This window comes from Homo sapiens, chromosome 1, assembly GCF_000001405.40.
Source record: "Homo sapiens chromosome 1, GRCh38.p14 Primary Assembly".
NCBI classification, from domain to species: domain Eukaryota; kingdom Metazoa; phylum Chordata; class Mammalia; order Primates; family Hominidae; genus Homo; species Homo sapiens.
In genome coordinates this window covers 248882005-248901798 of record NC_000001.11, presented here as the reverse complement: position 1 = coordinate 248901798, position 19794 = coordinate 248882005, and the positions used below count along the sequence as shown (strand labels likewise).

Sequence of the window (19794 nt, the reverse complement as noted above, 5' to 3'; positions counted from 1 at the left end):
GGTTTTTTTGCTTTGTTTTGTTTTTGCTGTGCAGAAGCTTTTTAGTTTAATTAGATCCCATTTGTCAGTTTTCACTTCTGTTGCAATGGCTTTTGGCGTTTTTGTGATAAAGGTTTTGCCCGTGTCTATGTCCTGAATGGTATTGCCTAGATTTTCTTCTGGGTTTTTATAGTTTTGGATTTTACATTTAAGCCTTTAATCCATCTTGAGTTATTTTTTGTATAAAGTGTAAGGATGGGGTCCAGTTTCAGTTTTCTGCATATGGCTAGCCAGTTTTCCCAGTACCATTTGTTAAATAGAGAATTATTTCTTCATTGCTTGTTTTTGTCAGGTTTATCAAAGATCAGATAGTTGTAGGTGTGCAGTCTTATTTCTGAGTTCTCTAGTCTGTTCCATTGATCTATGTGTCATTTTTGTACCAGTACCATGCTGTCTTGGTTACCATAGCCTTCTTATATAGTTTGAAGTCGGGTACCCTGATGCCTCCAGCTTTGCTCTTGTTGCTTTGGATTGTCTTGGCTATTAGGACTTTTTTTTGGTTCCATATGAAATTTAAAATATATTTTTTTATTTCTGTGAAAAATGTCCATAGCAATTTAATAGGAATAGCATTGAATCTATAAATTAGTTTGGGCAATATGGCCATTTTCACAATATTGATTCTTCCTATCCCTGAGCATGGAATGTTTTCCCATTTGTTTGTGTCCTCTCTGATTTCCTTGAGCAGTGGTTTGTAGCTCTCCTTGAAGAGGTCCTTCACTTCCCCTGTTAGCTTTATTCCTAGGTATTTTATTTTGTTTGTGGGCATTGCGAATGGGAGTTCATTCATGGTTTGGCTCTCTGCTTGTCTGTTCTTGGTACATAGGAATGCTTGTGATTTTCATACACTGACTTTGTATCCTGAGACTTTGCTAAAGTTCCTTATGAGCTTAACAAGCTTTTGGGCTGACCCAATGGGGTTTTCTAGATATATGATCATGTCACCTGCAAACAAAGATAATTTAACTTCCTCTCTTCTACTTGAATAACCTTTCTTTCTTTCTCTTGTCTGACTGCCCTGGCCAAAACTTCCAATACCATGTTGAATAGGAATAGTGAGAGAGGACATCCTTGTCTTGTGCCAGTTTTTAAAAAGATTCCTTCCACCTTTTGACCATTAAGTATGCTATTGACTGTGGGTTTGTCATCTATGGCTCTTATTATTTTGAGGTATTTTCTTCAATACTTAGTTTATTGAGAGTTTTTAACATGAAGGATGTTGGATTTTATCAAAGATCTTTTATGCTTCTATTGCGACAACCATGTGGTTTTTGTCTTTAGTTCTGTTTATGTGATGAATTACATACATTGATTTGTATATGTTGAACCAACCTTGCATCCTGGGGATGAAGACAACTTGATCATGGTGGATAAGCTTTTTGATGTGATGCTGGATTCAGCTTGCCAGTATTTTATTGAGTATTTTTTGGATTGATGTTCATCAGGGATACTGGCCTGATTTCTGTTTTTTTGTTGTTGTTGTATTTCTGCCAGGTCTTGGTATCAGGATGATGCTTTCCTCATAAAATGAATTAGGGAGGAGTCCCTCCTTTTCAATTGTTTGAAATAGTGTCAGAAGAAATGTTACCAGCTCCTCTTTACACCTCTGGTAGAATTAAGCTATAATCCTTCTGATCCTGGGCTTTTTTTTTTTTTTTTTTTGGTAGGCTATTTATTACTGCCTCAATTTCAGAACTCATTATTGGTCTATTCAGGGACTCAACTTCTTCCTGGTTCAGTCTTGGGAGGGTGTATATATCCAGCAATTTATCCATTTCTTCTAGATTTTGTAGTTTATTTGCATAGAGGTGTTTGTAGTATTTTCTGATGGTTGTTCATATTTCCATTGGCGTCAGTGGTGATATCCCCTTTATTGTTTCTAATTATATCTATTTGATTCTTCTCCTTCTTTTCTGTATTAGTGTAGCTAGTAGTCTATCTATTTTACTTTTTTTTTTTTTTCCCAAAAAAAACAGCTCCTGAATTTGCTGATTTTTTTAAGGGTTTTTGATGTCTCTATCACCTTTATTTCTACTCTGATCTTGGTTATTTCTTGTCTTCTGCTAGCTTTGGGGATAGTTTTTTATTTGTGATGTTAGGGTATTGACTTGAGCTCTTTCTGGCTTTTTGATGTGGGCATTTAGTACTATAAATTTTCCTCTTAACACTGCTTTCGCTGCATTCCAGAGATTCTGGTGTGTTGTCTCTTTGTTCTCATTGGCTTCAAAGAACTTCTTGATTTCTGCCTTATTATTTACCCAGGAGTCATTCAGGATCAGGTTTTTCAATTTCTACGTAGTGGTGTGGTTTTGAGTGAGTTTCTTAATCTTGAATTCTAATTTGATTGCACTGTGTTCTGAGAAACTGTTATGATTTCAGTTTTTTGCATTTGCTGAGGAGTGTTTTACTTCAGATTACATGTTCAACTATAGTAAGTTCTTTGTGGTGATGAGAAGAATGTATATTCTGTTGAATTTGGGTGGAGAGTTTTGTAGATATCTATAAGATCCACTTGATTCAGATCTGAGTTCAGGTCCTGAATATTTTTGTTAATTTTCTGTCTCTATAATCTGTCTAATATTGTCAGTGGGGTATTAAAGTCTCCCACTGTTATTGTAGGGGAGTCTAAGTTTCTCTGTAACTCTCTAAGAACTTGTTTTAAGAATGTGGGTGCCCCAGTATTGGGTGCATATATATTTAGGATAGTTAACTCCTCTTGTTTAATTGAACCCTTTACCATTATGTAATGCCCTTCTTTGTGTTTTTAATCTCTGTTGGTTTAAAGTCTGTTTTGTCAGAAACTACAAAAAAACCCTGCTTTTTTCTGTTTTCCATTTGCTTGGTAAATTTTCATCCATCCCTTTATTTTGAGCCTATTTGTGTCTCTGCATGTGAGATGGGTCTGTTGAATATAGCATACTGATGGGTCTTGACTCTATCCAGTTTGCCATTTTTTGTCCTTTAATTGGAGCATTTAGCCCATTTACATTTAAGGTTAATGTTTTTCTTTGTGAATTTGTTCCCGTCATCATGATGCTAGCTGGTTATTTTGTAGATTTGTTTATGTAGTTGCTTCATAGTGTTGTTGGTCTGTGTACTTCAGTGTGTTTTTGTAGTGGCTGGTAACGGTTTTTCCTTTCCATATTTAGTGCTTCCTTCAGGAGCTCCTGCCAGGCAGGCCTGGTGGTGATGAATTCCCTCAGCATTTGCTCATCTGAAAAGGGTCTTATTTCTTTTTTGCTTATAAAGCTTAGTGTGGCTGGATATGAAATTCTGGGTTTGAAATTCTTTTCTTTAAAAATGTTGAGCCAGGTGCGGTGGCTCACGCCTGTAATCCCAGCACTTTGGGAGGCCGAGGTGGGCGGATCATGAGGTCAGGAGAGCAAAGGTGGCAGCCTGCTCCTTCCCAGAGGAACATTGACCTGATTCAAGCCCAAATGCTGCTGGAGGTGTCTGGAGACCCCTGTTGGGAGGTCTCATTCAGTCAGGAGGGATAGGATTGGGGGGACCTGCTTGAAGAAGTAGTCTGGCTGCCCCTTGGTGGAGTTGGTACACTGTTGGGGAGAACCCCTGTCATCTGGACTGCCCAGACTCTCCAAAGCCAGCAGGCGGGAAAGGCTGTCGGCTGAACTGCAGAGACCATGGCTGCCCCTCCCCCAAGGGGCTGCATCCCAGGGAGATCAGAGTTCTGTCCATTAAACCCTGGCTGGAGTTGCTGAAATTCCCACAGGGAGGCCCCACCCAGTGAGGAGGAATGGGTCGGGGTCCCATGTAAAGAAGCAATCTGGCCACAACCTGCCGTAGCTGCTGAGCTCCACTGTGGGGAATCCCTCCCGGTCCAAACCACCCAGTCTCCCCAGCATTAGGAGGGCAAAATAGCCAACTGGAGCTGCAGAGATGGCAGCTGCCCCTTTCCCCAGGAACTCGGTCATCTCAGGCAGTCTCCAGTCGCTGCCACTGGCCCATGGGGATTTCTAAGCCAGTGGGTCTTAGCTGGTAAGGTTTTGTGGGAGTGGAGCCCACTGAAAGATGCCCCTTGGGTTCCTGGCTTCAGCCCCCTTCCTACAGGAACAGACAGATCTCCTGCCTCACAGGAATTTTCAAGCTTCAGCATGCAAAAACTCCTGCATCTCTGTGCCTTCCCGAGCAGCTGCTGACTGGAGTGGCCACCAGGTCTGCACAGCTCTGTGCCTGGGACCCAAGGCCCTGGTGGCATAGGCTCAAGAAGGAATCTCCTTGTTTGAAATGCTTGCTCCCCAGTGCCGTAAAGAAATAGCACTTGAACATACATTTAATTTACTCAGCAAGGCCATTTTTACTTACTGCAGAAAAGGTATGCTTGCCAGCAGTTTTGCCATGAGAGTACACCAAACAAAGAAGACAGGGTCATTTATAACCTGACGCATCCACCCTACTGCTGTGTCTGGTTTCCATCGGCTGGCACGGGACCTCACATCCTGTATTTGTTCCGATCGGCTAGCAACTTAGAACTTTCTTAAAGAGGCAAAGGTAGAGGGGAACAAAGGAAGGAGGAAGTAACTGGTGGAATGCTGAGAAAGGTAAAAAGCACCTTCACATAAGGAAGAGGAACAGGCTATCACCTAATGCTTGCTTGGACCAGCATAAGCATGCTAGGGCAAATATTTAGGCTAAATTGTGACATAAAGTACTTTGATTTCTTTACCACGGCTAGCAGATATTTAAGAATGTTAGCACAGGTCTTTGAATAAATTTTGCTTCTAAGAGAAGTTACTATTTATTCCTAATTAAATGGGGAGGAAAATCTTTGAAGAGGAACCTCTACTTTACTTTTTACATCCTGATCTATGGGTTGCAAAGATCCATGGGAAAAGTGTGATTTCCTGGGTGGGGTAGTGCAATCCCTCACGGCCTCCCTGGCCTGGGAGCGGGCGATCCCCTTGCTCCATGCAGCTCCCAGGTGGGCTGTCGCCCCACCTTGCTTTTCCTTGCTCTCCATGGGTCACTGCCTAGCCAGCATCCAATATCAACTGGATATCTCAGTTGAAGGTATAGAATGCACTTACCATTTTCATTCTTCTTGGTGAGCGCTGAAGACTGCAGCTGCTTCTAATCAGTAATTTTGTCCCTTCCCTCTAAAAGTTTTTTGTAGGAGGGAGGGGCCAAGATGGCCAATTAGAAGCAGCTGGAGCTATAGGTGTGCTGCTACTCAGGAGGCTGAGGCAGGAAGATTGCTTGAGCCCAGGAGCTTGAGGCTGCCGTGAGCTGTGATCGTGCCACTGCACTCCAACCTAGGTGACAGAGCAAGACCCCATCTCTAAAAGAAAAAGAATATCCATAAGGAATGATAAACGTATGCATGATTGTGAGAGTTAGAGTTTTCCAGATAAAGAGAACCAAGAGAATATATATATATATGTATATATGAAAAGATTTATGAGAAATTGGCTTATGGATTATGGAGACTAAGAGGTTTCAAAATCTGCTGTCTGCAAGCTGAAGACCCAGGAAAGCCAGTGTTGTAATTCCAATTTGAGTCAACGGCCTGAGAACCAGGGAGCCTATTTAAAACTGCATAAAACTGCAAGCCGTACATTTGCAGCAACTTGGATGGAGTTGAAGACCATTATTCTAAGTGAAGTAACTCAGGAATGGAAAATCAAATATTGTATGCTCTCACTTATAAGGGAGCTAAGCTATGAGGATGCAAAGGCATAAGAATGATATAATAGACTTCTGGGACTCGGGGCGGGGGAAGGGTCGGAGGGGCGTGATGGATAAAAGACTATACAGTGGGCCGGGTGCAGTAGCTCATGCCTGTAATCCCAGCACTTTGGGAGGCCGAGGTGAGCGGATCACAAGGTCAAGCGATCAAGACCATCCTGGCCAACATGGTGAAACCCTGTCTCTACTAAAAATACAAAAATTAGCTGGGCGTGGTGGCACGTGCCTGTAGTCCCAGCTGCTTGGGAGGCTGAGGCAAGAGAATCGCTTGAACCTGGGAGGCGGAAGTTGCAGTGAGCCAAGATCACGCCACTGCACTCCAGCCTGGTGACAGAGCAAGGTTCTGTCTAAAAACAAAACAAAACAAAAAAATCTATACATTGGGTACAGTGTACACTGCTCAGGTACCAAAATCTTAGTGCACCAAAATCTCAGAAATCCCACTAAAGAACTTATCCACGTAACCAAGAACCACCTGTTTCCTCCAAAATAATGAAGAAAAAAAAATACCCTGCAAGCCTTAAATATCATTAAGATATTTAATTCCTTAAATGTCTAACAGCACCAGACACGAGGATGATTATTGGATTGGGGAACAGAACAGGAGCCAATTCTTAAAGGTAGTCTTGCTTCCTTGAGCAGCAGAACCCTTGCTACTCAGACCTTCTTCCTCCTCTTTGTCCTTCCTCCTCTTTGTGTGCCAGGTTGGGCTGGCAGTATAGCCACAAATATGGGGGCTACTCACCACCAAAGAGGAGGCCTAGCACTCTGTGGGCAGGACTGGTCCCTGTGAAATCAGAGGAAAACCAGACTGTGGCCACAGTCACACTCCTCTGGCTTCTTTCTCTTTGTTAAGTTCCCAAACATTGGCCTGTTGTTGGTTGACCCAAAGACCACTCTCAGGTTCAATGACTGGCTGGAAGGACTTACAGAACTCAGAAAAGTTGTTATAGGCTGGGTGTGATGGCTCAAGCCTATAATTCCAACACTTTGGGAGGCTGAGTTGGGAGGATAGCTTGAGACTAGAAGTTAGAGACCAGCCTGGACAACATAGCAAGATCCCATCTCTAAAAAAATTAACAACAACAACAAAATAGCCAGATGCAGGCCATACACACCTGGAGTCCCAACTACTCAGGAGGCTGAGGCAGGAGGATCACATGAGCACAGGAGTTTGAGGTTGCAGTGAGCTATGATTGTGTCATTGCACTCCAGCCAGTGACAATCAGAGCGAGACCTCATCTAAGAAAGAAGAAAGAAAGAGAGAGAGAGAAAAGGAAGGAAGGAGAAGAGGAAGGGGAAGGGGAAGGAAGGAAAGGAAAGCAAGCAAGCAAGCAAGCAAGCAAGAAAGAAAGGAGGGAGGGAGGGAGGGAGGGAAGAAAGGGAAAAAGAAGAAAAAAGAAAATGTGTATATTCATTACAGTGAGTTTTGACTTATTAAAGTGAAAGAATACAGGTTAAAATCAGCAAAGGTACCCATGCATACATTGTCAGCTGATGTTTAACAAGAGTGCCATGAATACACAATAGGAAAATGATAGTCTCTTCAATAAATAGGGAAAATTGTATATCCACATCCAAAAGCATGTAATCGGAGTCTTGTCTTACACCATACACAAAAATTAACTCAAAATGGATTAACCACTAAAACGTAAGTTATATAACCCTAAAAATCCTAGAAGAAAACATAGAAGTAAAGCTCCTTGACTTTTCTAGGTCCAGGCAATGATTTCATATATCTGACAGCAAAAAGACAGGCAAAAAAAACCACAAAAAAAACCCAAAAATAGACAAGTGGGACTATATCAAACTAAAAAGTTTCAGCATTACAAAGGAAACAACCCATAAAATAAAAAGACAACCCAAAGAATGAGAGAAAATATTTTCAAAGAACATATCTGATGATGGGTTAATTTCCAACATAAGGAACTCCTATAAATAGCAAAAACAAAAATAACCTGATATAAAAATGAGCAAAGGACCTGAGTACACACATTTCTCCAAAGACCTACAAATGGCCAGGGCCAGCAGACATATAAAAAGATGCTCAACATCACTAATCATCAGAGAAACAGGAATCAAAACCACAGTGAAATATCATCTCATACCTGTTAGAATGTCTTTAATCAATCAATCAATTAACAAAAAAGAAAAGAATGTTGTCAAAGATGTAATGAAAAGGGAAACCTTATACATTGTTGGTGGAGATGTGAATTAATACAGCTATTATGGAAAATAGAATGGAGTTTCCTGAAAAAAAGACTTAAACTAGAACTGTCAAATAATCCAGCAATAACACTTGTGGGTATGTAGCCAAAAGAATAAACATTAGAATCTTGAAGAGGTATTTGCACTCCCATTGATAGTAGCATTATCCACAATAGCCAAGATATGGAAACAACCCAAATAAATGTCCATTGAGAGATGAGTGGATAAAGAAAATGCACATGTGTATACACAAACATACAGACAACAGAATATTATTCAGCCTTTTAAAAAGAAGGAAATCCTACTATTTGCAGTCATTTAGATGGACTTGAAAGACATGATACTAAATGAAATAAGTCAGTTACAGTACGACAGATACTGCCTGATTCCTCTTATATGAGGTATTTAAAATAGTCAAACATATAAAAAGTAGGCAATAGAATCCTGGTTACCAGGAGATGGGGGAGAGGGATATGGGGAGTTGTTATTCAATGGATATAAAGTTACAGTTACATAACATAAGTTCTGAAGAACTGCTGTACAACATAGTGCGTAAGTTAACAATAAGGTTTTGTGCACTTAAAAATGTTAGAGGATTTTTCTCATGTTGAATGTTCTTATCGAAAACAACAACAAAGGGATAAAAGGAAACTTCTGAAATTGATGGATGTGTTCATTGCCTTTACTGAGGTGATGGTAACATGAGTATGCACCTATGTCCAAATTGTATACATTAATTATGTGCCATTTTCTGGATACCAATTATACCTCAATAAATCTGGGAAAAATAAATGACCAAAGGTAAAACATATAGAGTATCCAGAAAAGACCACAACAGACTTCCAGTTGTCTTTTCCCTGTGCAGTTGTATAGACAGTGCTTAGTTTTCCAAGCAACAACGTATGACAATGCATATAGACAATTGTCAACCAGGGAAGGACACTCAAGCCTGGGTGTCCAGAGTTTCTCTCAGAGGTGAGTCAAATAGATATGATTGACTACCTGAGTGGTTAGCCTGAGTCTCCAACCCATCCAAAGGTCAAGCTGGTACTGCATGAGTCAAGGCCCACACCATAAATCATATTGTTCACATAGACTGTCTGGGGTAGCCCAAGCTGCAAGTAAATAAAAACACTTTTATCAGGCAGGATATTCCAAGGGCTTAGAGGTAGCTTCTTAATAGCCAGGTGTGAAAGAAAAGAAAATTTCAGGACCCTCTAAATATATTATGCCAAAGGAGAAGTTAAGTCCCAGAGATTGAATCACATAGAATGTTTACAGTTGTGCTTCTTAGATTACAGCTTAACTCTCTTCATTTTTATTCTTGTTCTATAAATGACTAGGAGACCAGAAACCAGACCTTCACGCCTCCATCCAATCACTGATTTTTTTTTTTTAGATTAACTGCCTCCTTTATTGTCCTGTAACTAACTCAGACCAGATGACACCCAAGTCCCTCTATGACCGTTACATCGTCAGGGTAGAATGCTAAATATGCCTTTCAAAGAAAGAAATAAAGTAAAAGGAAGAAAGGAAAGAAGGAAGGAAGGGAAGGAAGGAAGGAAGGAAGGAAGGGAGGGAGGGAGGGAGGGAGGGAGGGAGGGAAGGAAGGAACAAGACTACCTTGACCTACTCAGATTGTTGTAACTATGCATTAACCCTTATATAGAAAGATGTTGAAAGTCTGTTAAACTTCCCCATGCTTTGTCTATATAAGCAATCTCAAATCTACAGTTTGGAGCACTGACTTCCATTCTTTGGAATCTGTGCTTCCCAGGCAGGCCTGTCCTCAACTTTGTGCTTGAATAAACTCTCTTTAAACTAGATTCTGATCCTTTTGGTTATTTGGGGTTGACACAGGCGACGCCTTTTTTTCTGCTGAATCAACCCTTTACTGCAAAGACTTCATAAAGAGCTTAGTTTTCATTGTGTTAGTCATTACCTAGAAAGTATAAATTAGCTATAAAGACTTTATTTACAAGAGATTGGACTTTTCTTCAAAAACACTTTTTTTTCTTTTTTAAAAAGACAGGCTGTCATTCTGTTGCCCAGGCTGGAATGCAGTGGCTCAATCTTGGCTCACTGCAGCCTCAACCTTCAGGGCTCAAGCCATCTTCCCGCTTCAGCTTCCCTAGTACCTAGGAATACAGGCATCTGTGCCTGGCTGATTTTTAAATTTTTAGTAGAGATGAGGTCTTGCCATGTTACCCAGGCTGGTCTTGAACTCCTGGGCTCACGCAATTCACCTGCCTCAGCCTCCCAAAGGGCTGGGATGACAGGTGTGCACCACTGTGCCTGGCCCAAAAATATTTCTTAAAAGTACTTTAGACATTCTCTTGTGGCTCTTCATCAAAGTATATATCTCTTATTAAGCAAAAGAGATGACAAATCATTGAATCAAGCATTCTCAAAATTTATATCATGAAACCCAAAAAGTATAACCCATATGCCCCACTCACAATCACAAATTTTCTCAAAAATATCTACAGCACAGCCAGTCTACACTGTCCTCACCCACCGAGTTCCCTCTGTTGTCTGGCCTCAAATTGGATTTGTAGAGAAGAGGCTAATACTGTTATCTCAGTCTAGTTGGCTACAGGCAGGGCTGCCCCACCTTGAGAGAACCATTAATGTAGTGGGCAGTGTCCAGCACTCTAAAAAATAAAATGAAAGACAAAACAAAATGTTGGAGCAACACATCTGACAGAGACACATTTTGTTTGCATAACTTTTTTTCAGTTATGTAACCATGAGTGTATGTCTATGTTACCATGCATGCGTCAGTGCGTGAGTGATTTGTGAGTGGTATGTGCATGCCTGCGTGTATATTGTGGGTGTGTGGTGGGTGGTGAATGTGTGTGTCTGTGATGTGTGATGTCTGTGGTGTGTAGAGAGGTGTGGCTGTGTCGGGGGTGGGGAGGTGTGGTGTGTGGTGCATGTGTGTATCTGTGATGCATAGCATCTGCAGTGTGATGGGGGGCTGTGGATGTGTGGGGAGGTGTGTGGTGTGTGTGGGTGTGTGTGGTGTATGTTGTGTGTGTGGTGTGTGGTGCGTGTGTGCATCTGTGATGTGTGGTGTGCGGGGTGTGTAATGTATAATGTGTAGTGTGGGTGGTCTGTAGCGTAGCTGGGTGTGGGTGTGTGTGGGGGTCGGTGTTGGTGTGTATGGTGCATGTGTGTATCTGTGAGGTGTGGTATGTGTGGTGTGTGTATAATGTGTATGATGTGGTATGTGTGTGGTGCATGTAGTGTGTGGGGTGAGTGATTGTAAGTGGGCTGAGTCCTTTCATGACATGGATTACTTCTGTAGCCCTTAGACTGGTAAGAGACCACATGGTTTGTGTAGAATAGTCAGGAGCCAGGCAGCCTAAACTTGCATCTTGACACTGGCTCATAGGAACTTTGTGACCTTGGGCAAGATTCCTAATCCCATTGCATCTGTTTCTTCGCATAAAAACGGTGAACACAATAATAGTACCTGTAAGAATTAAAGAAAGAGGAGAGAAAGATGAAGGGTGGCTCGACAGAAGACAGGTTTATTTCAGAAAACAAACCTGTGGGGACTTCTGACCTAGTTAGGGCAGAAGCTGCACTCTTGCAGAGTAAGAGTTTTTAAGGATTCAGGCCGGGTGCAGAGACTCACGCCTGTAACCCAGCACTGTGGGAGGCTGAGTCAGGCGGATCACTTGAGGTCGGGAGTTTGAGACCAGCATGACCAACATGGAGAAACCCCGTCTCTACTAAAAATACAAAATTAGCTGGGCGTGGTGGCGCATGCCTGTAATCCCAGCTGCTTGGGAGGCTGAGGCAGGAGAATCACTTGAACCCGGGAGGTGGAGGTTGTGGTGAGCTGAGATCACACCATTGCACTCCAGCCTGGGCAACAAGAGCGAAACTCCGTCTCAAAAAAAAAAAAAAAAGAAAAGAAAAAGAAAAGGATTCAGGGTGGGAGAGTTTATCAGAGGCTTGGACTGCTTCTGTGACTCTTTGTTTTGCCTATCTGGGAGGGAGAGTTGTGTCTGTTCCCATACATTTTTCTGCAGCTGCAAGCATATCCCCCGAGTCTGCCTTTAGCTTCCCTGTCTTAGAGCACCTGAAGGGAAAGGAATGTGCTTATTAAGGCCCACTGTTTTACTGGGGCTCCAGTGTATGAGGGTGAAGTTTGGCAGTTACCTAAGAGACTTCCTCCCCTCCTTTCCCTGTCCCCGAGCTGCCTTATCTGTGTTTTACTGTCTGCTCTTTTCTGGCTGCTTGTAGTTAGAAGATAAGTGATTTCCTTGAAATGCATGAAGCTAGAAAGGGAGCTTGCAGTGTTTGTTTGAGATGACGGTGCTCCTGCTCTCTCAGTACCTATCTCATAATTTGTCGTAAGAATTAAATGAAAACAATATTAAACGGAAAACATTTAGTACAGTGTCCGGCTCAGTAAGTGTTATTTATTTATTTATTTATTTTCTTTTTGAGACGGAGAAGTCTCGCTCCGTCACCCAGGCTGGAGTGCAGTGGCATGATCTTGGCTCACTGCAATCTCTGCCTCCCAGGTTCAAGCGATTCTCCTGCCTCAGCCTCCTGAGTAGCTAGGATTACAGGCACGCACCACCACATCCAGCTAATTTTTGTATTTTTGGTAGAGATGGGGTTTCGCCATGTTGGCCAGGCTGGTCTCGAACTCCTGACCTCATGATCTGCCCACCTTGGCCTCTCAAAGTGCTGTGATTACAGGCGTGAGCCACAGTTACCGGCCCATGTATTTCATTTTTTATTTTTATCATTCTTGTTATTGTTGCTATTATAAGTCATAGTCAAAAGTAAGAAACACTTAGAATGCATCAAAGCCAGTGTTTATGGGAAAAGGACTCCCTATTCAATAAATAGTGCTGGGAAAACTGGCTAACCATATGCAGAAGAATGAAATTAGACTCCTACTTCTCAGCATATACAAAAAATAAGATGAATTAAAGATTTAAATGTAAGACCTCAAACTATAAAAAATCCTAGAAGAAAACCTAGGAAATACACTTCCGGACATTCGCCTTGGCAAATAATTTATGACTAGGTGCTCAAAAACAATTGCAACAAAAACAAAAATTGACAAGTTGGGCCTAATTAAACTAAAGAGCTTCTGCACAGAAAAAGAAACTATCAACAGAATAAACAGACAACCTACAGAATGGGAGAAAATATTCACAAATTATACATCTGACAAAGGTCTAATATCCAGAATCTATAAGGAACTGAAACAAATCAACAAGCAAAAAACAACTCCATTAAAAAATGAGCAAAGGGCATGAATAGACAATTTTCAAAAGAAGACATAGAGCCAACCAATATGTAAAAAAAGTTCAACATCACTAATCATCAGAGAAATACAAATCAAAACCACAATGAGATATCATCTCACACCAGTCAGAATGAGTATTACTAAAAAGTAACAATATAACAGATGCTGGCAAGGCTGTAGAGAAAAGGGAATACTTATGTGGGAATGTAAATTAGTTCAGCCCCTGTGGAAAGCAGTTAGGAGATTTCTCAAGGAACCTAGAACTACCATTCAACCCATGAATCCCATTACTGGGTATATATTCAAGGGTAAATATATTGTTCTACCAAAAAGACACCTGCGCTCATAAGTTTATTGCAGCACTATTCACAATAGCATGGATATAGAATCAACTAGATGACCATCCACGGTGGATTGCATTAAGAAACTGTGGTACATATATACCATGGAGTACTACACTACCATAAAAAAAGAATAGAATTATGTCCTTTGCAGCAACATGTATGCAGCTGGAGGTCATTATCCTAAGTGAATTAACACAGAAACAGAAAAGCAAATATCATGTGTTCTCACTTAGTAGTGGGGGCTAAACTCTGGGTACACATGGACATAAAGTTAGGAACAACAGACACTGGAGACTCCAAAAGGAGGCAGAGAGGGAGAGGAGCAAGGGCTGAAAAACTTCCTATTGAGTACTATGTCCACTGTTTGGGTGATGGGATCAACAGAAGCCCAAAGCTCAGCATCACACAATCTGCCCTTGTGTTAGGTTGGTGCAAAAGTGTTTGTGGTTTTTGCCATTGAACGTAATGGCAAAAATCGCAATCACTTTTGCCACAACCTAATGATAAACCTGCACAAGTACCCCCTGAATCTAAAATTAAAATTAAATTTTTTACAAAGCCATTGCCTTCCATCAAGCCAGTTTCTTGTCCAGACTGGAGCATTCTACTGGTTTGGTGTGTTTCGCTCCCATCATCTCCTAACTGAAAACTCATTTTTGCTAATTAAGAATAACATCATTACTAACAAGATGGATTGGTATTATATGCCTCCTGATATAATGCTCTGGGAAGCGTACAATATAACTTCTGTGGCACTCTTGCCAAATGCATGTCCTCTATTTAATAATGAACAAACAGCCAACAAACTCAAACTCAGGGCCATTCAACAAGACAACTGAGTAGAACTCCTAAAAAGCGTCCAGGTCAAAAAAGACAAGGAAAGACTGAGGAACCATCAGAGATGGAAAGAGATTAAGAAGATGTGTCAATCAAATGCAATTTGGGATCCTGGATTAGACATTAGTGAGAAAGCTGGGGAAATTTGAGTAAGGCCTGTATTTTAGTCAATTGCGTTGTATCAGTGATAACTTTCTGGTTTTGGAAACAATACTATGATCAGGTAAAATGTTAGCCTTAGGATAAGCTGAGTGAAGGCTATATTTTTTTATAATTTTTGTAACTTTTCTATAAGTCTAAAATATTTTCAAAATAAATAGTAAGCTTATGTGTGTATAACAAATACATATACATATGCATGCATAAAAACATACATAAATATTATATATCCTGTAATCCTGAGTACAATATATATCATAATGGGCAGCCAAACCACTGGCATGCTGCAGAGTTTTACCCCCTTGAGATTTTCTAATTAGCTTGCTCTTTGGAAACCTGTGATCCTTTCACTACAGGTTTGCTGTTGACTGCTTTATCACAGGAAGTAAATGCTTTTAAAGTTTCCTTTTGAACCCTCCAAAGAGAATCCCAAGAAACGCCAGTTAATAAGAGCTTATTATGGTGATCCCTCAACTCCTGCCAACATTCCTCATTCCCAGAAGACCAGGCTGGGGCCACACAGCTGGAGCATGCATTCACAAAGTGCTGTCTCCCCAGGCAGAGGAAGCAAATGGCAAGAGTCCAGGATGAGTCTAAGGGCAGCTGGGCAGTTTAAACTCCAAAAATGCAATTCTCCAACATGAAAATCAGATTCCCCAACCCCCACCTTTTATCCCAATGTCTAGGAAGATATTTTTCTTCTCTTTAGCTGCTTTTTGTTCAATATCTCAGTGGTATAATTTGAATTCAAACAGATCAATCTTTCAGATGGAGTACAAATGATCTCTGAAGGAGCTCTGAAAGTAATTAATCTCTTGTACTAAATCAACAGTCATCCTCACTTCTCAGCACAAGAAAGCAATTAGTCCCAGAGGTGAGAACTCATTTAGGTGATCACCCTAAGACTGATTTAGATAATGATATTTCTATGAATAATGTACACTCAAGTATCAGGCTGGTGATATTGATAACTCATACATTCCTATTTTTATTTTTTTGTCTTTATGGTAATAAAATGTAAATCTTCCTGAAAAAAACCTAGCATGTAGCAGCCACTGAGAGATCTGTCTTCATCACTTTCCTCGTTTGGACATGGGGCAAGTTGGTGCAAACCAGAGTTAACATCAACAAGGCCTTTCTTTGGTAACCATTATTTGCACAAAATATCATAAGACACGTTTCTTATTTTTTTTTTCATTCATGATTTGTATCCTTGTAACACCTTAAGACAAATTACTGAGGAGTAAACTGACAGGGTAGGAAAGTTCACTTTGTAGAAGGAAGACATTATGTTCTAATGGCAGATGTGAAAATGTGATACATAGTTCCATCTCAAGGCCTGCATGTGTTTATTTAGCAACTATTTGCATGTGTAGCAGGTTATTCAAATGCATCTCTGCTTTACTTTGAATTGCCAATTTAGATACATCAGATATTACAGATCTCTCAATGCAGAATTTAGGAAGGAAATGGCCAGGGAACTGGTCCGTGATTCCTCTCTTATGGTCAGCTTCAAATATATAAAGAACAGGATGAGTGTGGGGGTTATAGAACTGTTAAGATAGTCTTCATCAAGCACTGTTTCTCCTGGGGTCCCTACCCTCACTATCTTTAAGTGGGATAGAGTTGGTTGGAGGGTGCATTCATTAGTCCCATGTCTAATTCAAAGGAGGTCTAGCTTCTGAACCAAGACTGGGTTTTGAAATTAAAATAATTGTGGCTCTGTTGGGTACTATATTAATTTTCTATTCCTGATGTAACAAATGTAAACTAAAAATAAAATTTTTAGCTGAGCATGGGGTCACACACCTGTAGTCCTAGCCATGCAGGAGGCTGAGGTGAGAGGATAGCTTAAGGCTAGGAGTTCAAGACCAGTCTGGGAAACGTAGCAAAACCCCATCTCTACAAAAAAAAAAAAATTAAAAAGTAGCCAGACATCGTGGCTCATGCCTGTAGTCCTAGCTACTCAAGAAACTGAAGTGAGAGAATCACTTCAGGCCAGGAGTTCAAGGTTACAGTGAGCTATGATTATGCCACTGCACTCCACCCCAGGCAAAAGAGTGAGATCCTGCCTCTAAAAAAATGATAATAAAATAAAATCCTAAGTCCTCCAATGACAGAAGAGACCCCTTGTGGCCAAGGGGACTGCAAAAAAAGTCTGCAGTCTCACTTAAAAAACTGAGTTCTGGCCACTATGAGATGGGAAGTAGGATACACCTCATTTTACCCTCTTCCTTTTAAATTTAAGGCACAAAAACTGACCAGGATTCATCTGAAAATAGAGATCATAAGACTGACAAAACAGACTCATTGTGGTAATGAGATATCAAATTATAAACAAGACCTAAGACCATGCCAGGCATGACTTAAGGCACACCTGCAGGTCATTAATCTTGCTACATAGCATTATTATCCTAACTTAAAACATTTCTTTCTGCTGACTCCAAGTTTTAGACAGAGCTTTACTCATTCAACTGAAATTAAAGAATCTCTGAATCTATCTATAACCTATAAGCCCCTGCTTCAAGATAGCCCACCTTTTCAGGCCAAACCAATGTATACCTTCCATGTATTGATTTGTCTTTGCCTGTAACTCTTGCTCCCTAAAATGTGTTTTTAAAAAACTATAATGAGGTGGGCGGATCACCAGGTCAGGAGTTCAAGACCATCCTGGCTGATAGGGTGAAACCCCGTCTCTACTAAAAATACAAAAATTAGCTGGGCATGGTGGTGTGTGCCTGTAATCCCAGCTACTCAGAAGGCTGAGGCAGGAGAACTGCTTGAACCAGGACCCAGGAGGCGAAGGTTGCAATGAGCCGAGATCGCGCCACTGCACTCCAGCCTGGGCTACAGAGCGAGACTCTGTCTCAAAAAAAAAAACACAAACAAAAACGAAAAACTGTAATCTGATCACCTCAAAGGCACTTTCCCAAGACTCCTTGAGACTGGTTTCGTTGGGCTGAAATCACTTATATTGGCTTAGAATAAACCACTTTAAAATATTTTACAGAGTTTGGTTTTTTTCATTAACACAGCTTAACTCAAATTTTGTGTCTTACTAGCCATATGCAGAAGAATGAAGCTGGACTCTACCTTTTACAAAATTAGGACTCTACCTAATTACAAAAATTAATTCCAGATGGATTAAATATTTAAATATAAGACCTCCAACTATAAAAATCCTAGAAGAAAACCTGGGAAATACTCTTCTGGATATCAGCCTTAGCAAATAATTTATGACTAAGTGCTCAAAAGCAATTGCAACTAAAAGAAAAATTGGCAGGTGGGACCTAATTAAACTAACGAGCTTCTGCACAGTAGAAGAAACTAGGGTCGGGCACGGTGGCTCATGCCTGTAATCCCAGCACTTTGGGAGGCCGAGGCGGGCGGATCATGAGGTCAGGAGATCGAGACCATCCTGGCTAACATGGTGAAACCCAGTCTCTACTAAAAATACAAAAAAATTAGCTGGGCATCGTGGCGGGCGCCTGTAGTACCAACTACTTGGAAGGCTGAGGCAGGAGAATCACTCGAACCTGGGAGGCTGAGGTTGCAGTAAGCCGAGATCGTGCCACTGCACTCCAGCCTGGGCGACAAGGCGACAGGAGCAAGACTCTGTCTCAAAAAAAAAAAAAAAAAAAAAGAAAAAAAAAAGAAACTATCAGCAGAGTGAACAGACAGGCTGGGAGAAAATTTTCACAAACTATACATCTGAAAAAGGCCTAATATCCAGAATCTATAAAGAACTGAAACTGAAACAAATCATCAAGCAAAAAACAAATAACTCCATTTAAAAATGGGCAAAGGACCGGGTGCAGTGGCTCACACCTGTAATCCCAGCACTTTGGGAGGCCGAGGCGGCGGATCACCTGAGGTTGGGAGTTTGAGACCAGCCTGACCAACATGGAGAAACCTCATCTCTACTAAAAATACAAAATTAGCCAGGCGTAGTGGCACATGCCTGTAATCCCAGCTACTCGAGAGGCTGAGGCAGGAGAATCACTTGAACCTGGGAGGCGGAGGTTGTGGTGAGCCGAGATCCCGCCATTGCACTCCAGCCTGGGCAACAGGAGTGAAACTCTGTCTCAAAAAACAAACAAAAAACAAACAAACAAAGAAATTCTTTAAAAACTAGAAACCCTCCAGGTGCAGGCTATAACACTCAAACCTGGGGATAACAGACCATATGAACAATTAGCTATATACAAATTGACAAATATATACATACATACCATTTTTTTAAGGCTCTGGATCACAAGTAAGCTTTCTAAAATATAATGCACCACATTCTGACATAAACATTTGTAGGGAGACCCCCTGAAACTATTGCTACGGAATAAAAGATGAAATGCTCCTGATTATTGTAAATACAAAATTGCATGCAGGATTGTGTAAAGACAATGCCAGGTTGGACTGCCAGAACGAGCCAACAGTGCATGATGTGCTTCCCCCTGCAGAGAGCCTATGAATGGACGTGCGGTCAGGGAGGTTTCACATCACTAAGATTCCTATCCCAGGAAAACAGATGTTCATAGCTCTGGGAATGGAATGCAACCCTTGTGGAGAGCCTATAAACAGACACATGAGGGGCGCCTGTCCATATGGATAAGATAGGGCTATAAACGCCCTCATCTTGCCACGGCTCTTCTAGGCCTCTTTAGGGTTAAGGCATACTCCCTTCTGAGAATTTCTGGTCTAACCGATTGTCTAGCTTCATGTCCTGTTTCTATGGATTGTTTGTAACCAGCTTTTCCTGCAACTGTTACTGCTGATTAATATCTTGCTAATCATAGGTAATGGAAATACTGTGTTTCTGTTTTAAGGCTCTGTTAGAAATTACTGATGCACACACTATATTGTAAATTCTTATCTCTGTATACTGTACTTCTGCATACAGATGTTATGTTAAAGAATTACTTCATCCCCATGTGACCATCTAACCTCATAATCAAATGACCCTAAATCCCTCACTAACCTACCCCTGCCCTCACTAAACTTAATAATAAATGCTGGTATATCCCGTGCATTTTTGGCTCCGTGGGACCAGAAGGCGGTGACCCCCCTGGACCCAGCTTTCACTATCTTGTGTGTGTCTATTATTTCTCAACCTGCCGATCTGCCTGGGAACAAAGAGAGAGCCCCATTGCATTGCGGGCTGCTGGCCAGATCCCACAATAAACATTCATACAGAAGGACTCAGAGGTAAATAAACTTGAAGCTTTC

General features: G+C 41.1%; 1 protein-coding gene across 1 annotated transcript in view, besides 4 other annotated features; it reads right to left on the bottom strand.

Moving 5' to 3' along the window:
- PGBD2 (piggyBac transposable element derived 2) overlaps positions 1-19794 on the bottom strand; it is a 57341-nt gene that overhangs the window by 28393 nt on the left and 9154 nt on the right. The gene's annotated exons all lie outside the window — the stretch shown is intronic.
- Positions 5745-5927: a silencer, noted in NCBI's record as "fragment chr1:249190071-249190253 (GRCh37/hg19 assembly coordinates)". NCBI's record gives its function as "represses an EF-1alpha promoter that drives an FKBP-Casp9 reporter gene in an ReSE screen in HepG2 liver carcinoma cells {active_cell/tissue: HepG2}" and the evidence as "EXISTENCE:reporter gene assay evidence [ECO:0000049][PMID:32094911]".
- Positions 11435-11729: a silencer, noted in NCBI's record as "tiled region #4184; K562 Repressive DNase matched - State 5:Enh". NCBI's record gives its function as "represses a minimal TATA promoter and a strong SV40 promoter by Sharpr-MPRA in K562 cells {active_cell/tissue: K562}" and the evidence as "EXISTENCE:reporter gene assay evidence [ECO:0000049][PMID:27701403]".
- Positions 11924-12380: a transcriptional cis regulatory region, noted in NCBI's record as "candidate enhancer chr1.12989 targeted for multiplex CRISPR interference". NCBI's record gives its function as "positively regulates ZNF672 gene expression with high confidence in K562 cells {active_cell/tissue: K562}" and the evidence as "EXISTENCE:mutant phenotype evidence [ECO:0000015][PMID:30612741]".
- Positions 16603-16815: a transcriptional cis regulatory region, noted in NCBI's record as "candidate enhancer chr1.12988 targeted for multiplex CRISPR interference". NCBI's record gives its function as "positively regulates ZNF672 gene expression with high confidence in K562 cells {active_cell/tissue: K562}" and the evidence as "EXISTENCE:mutant phenotype evidence [ECO:0000015][PMID:30612741]".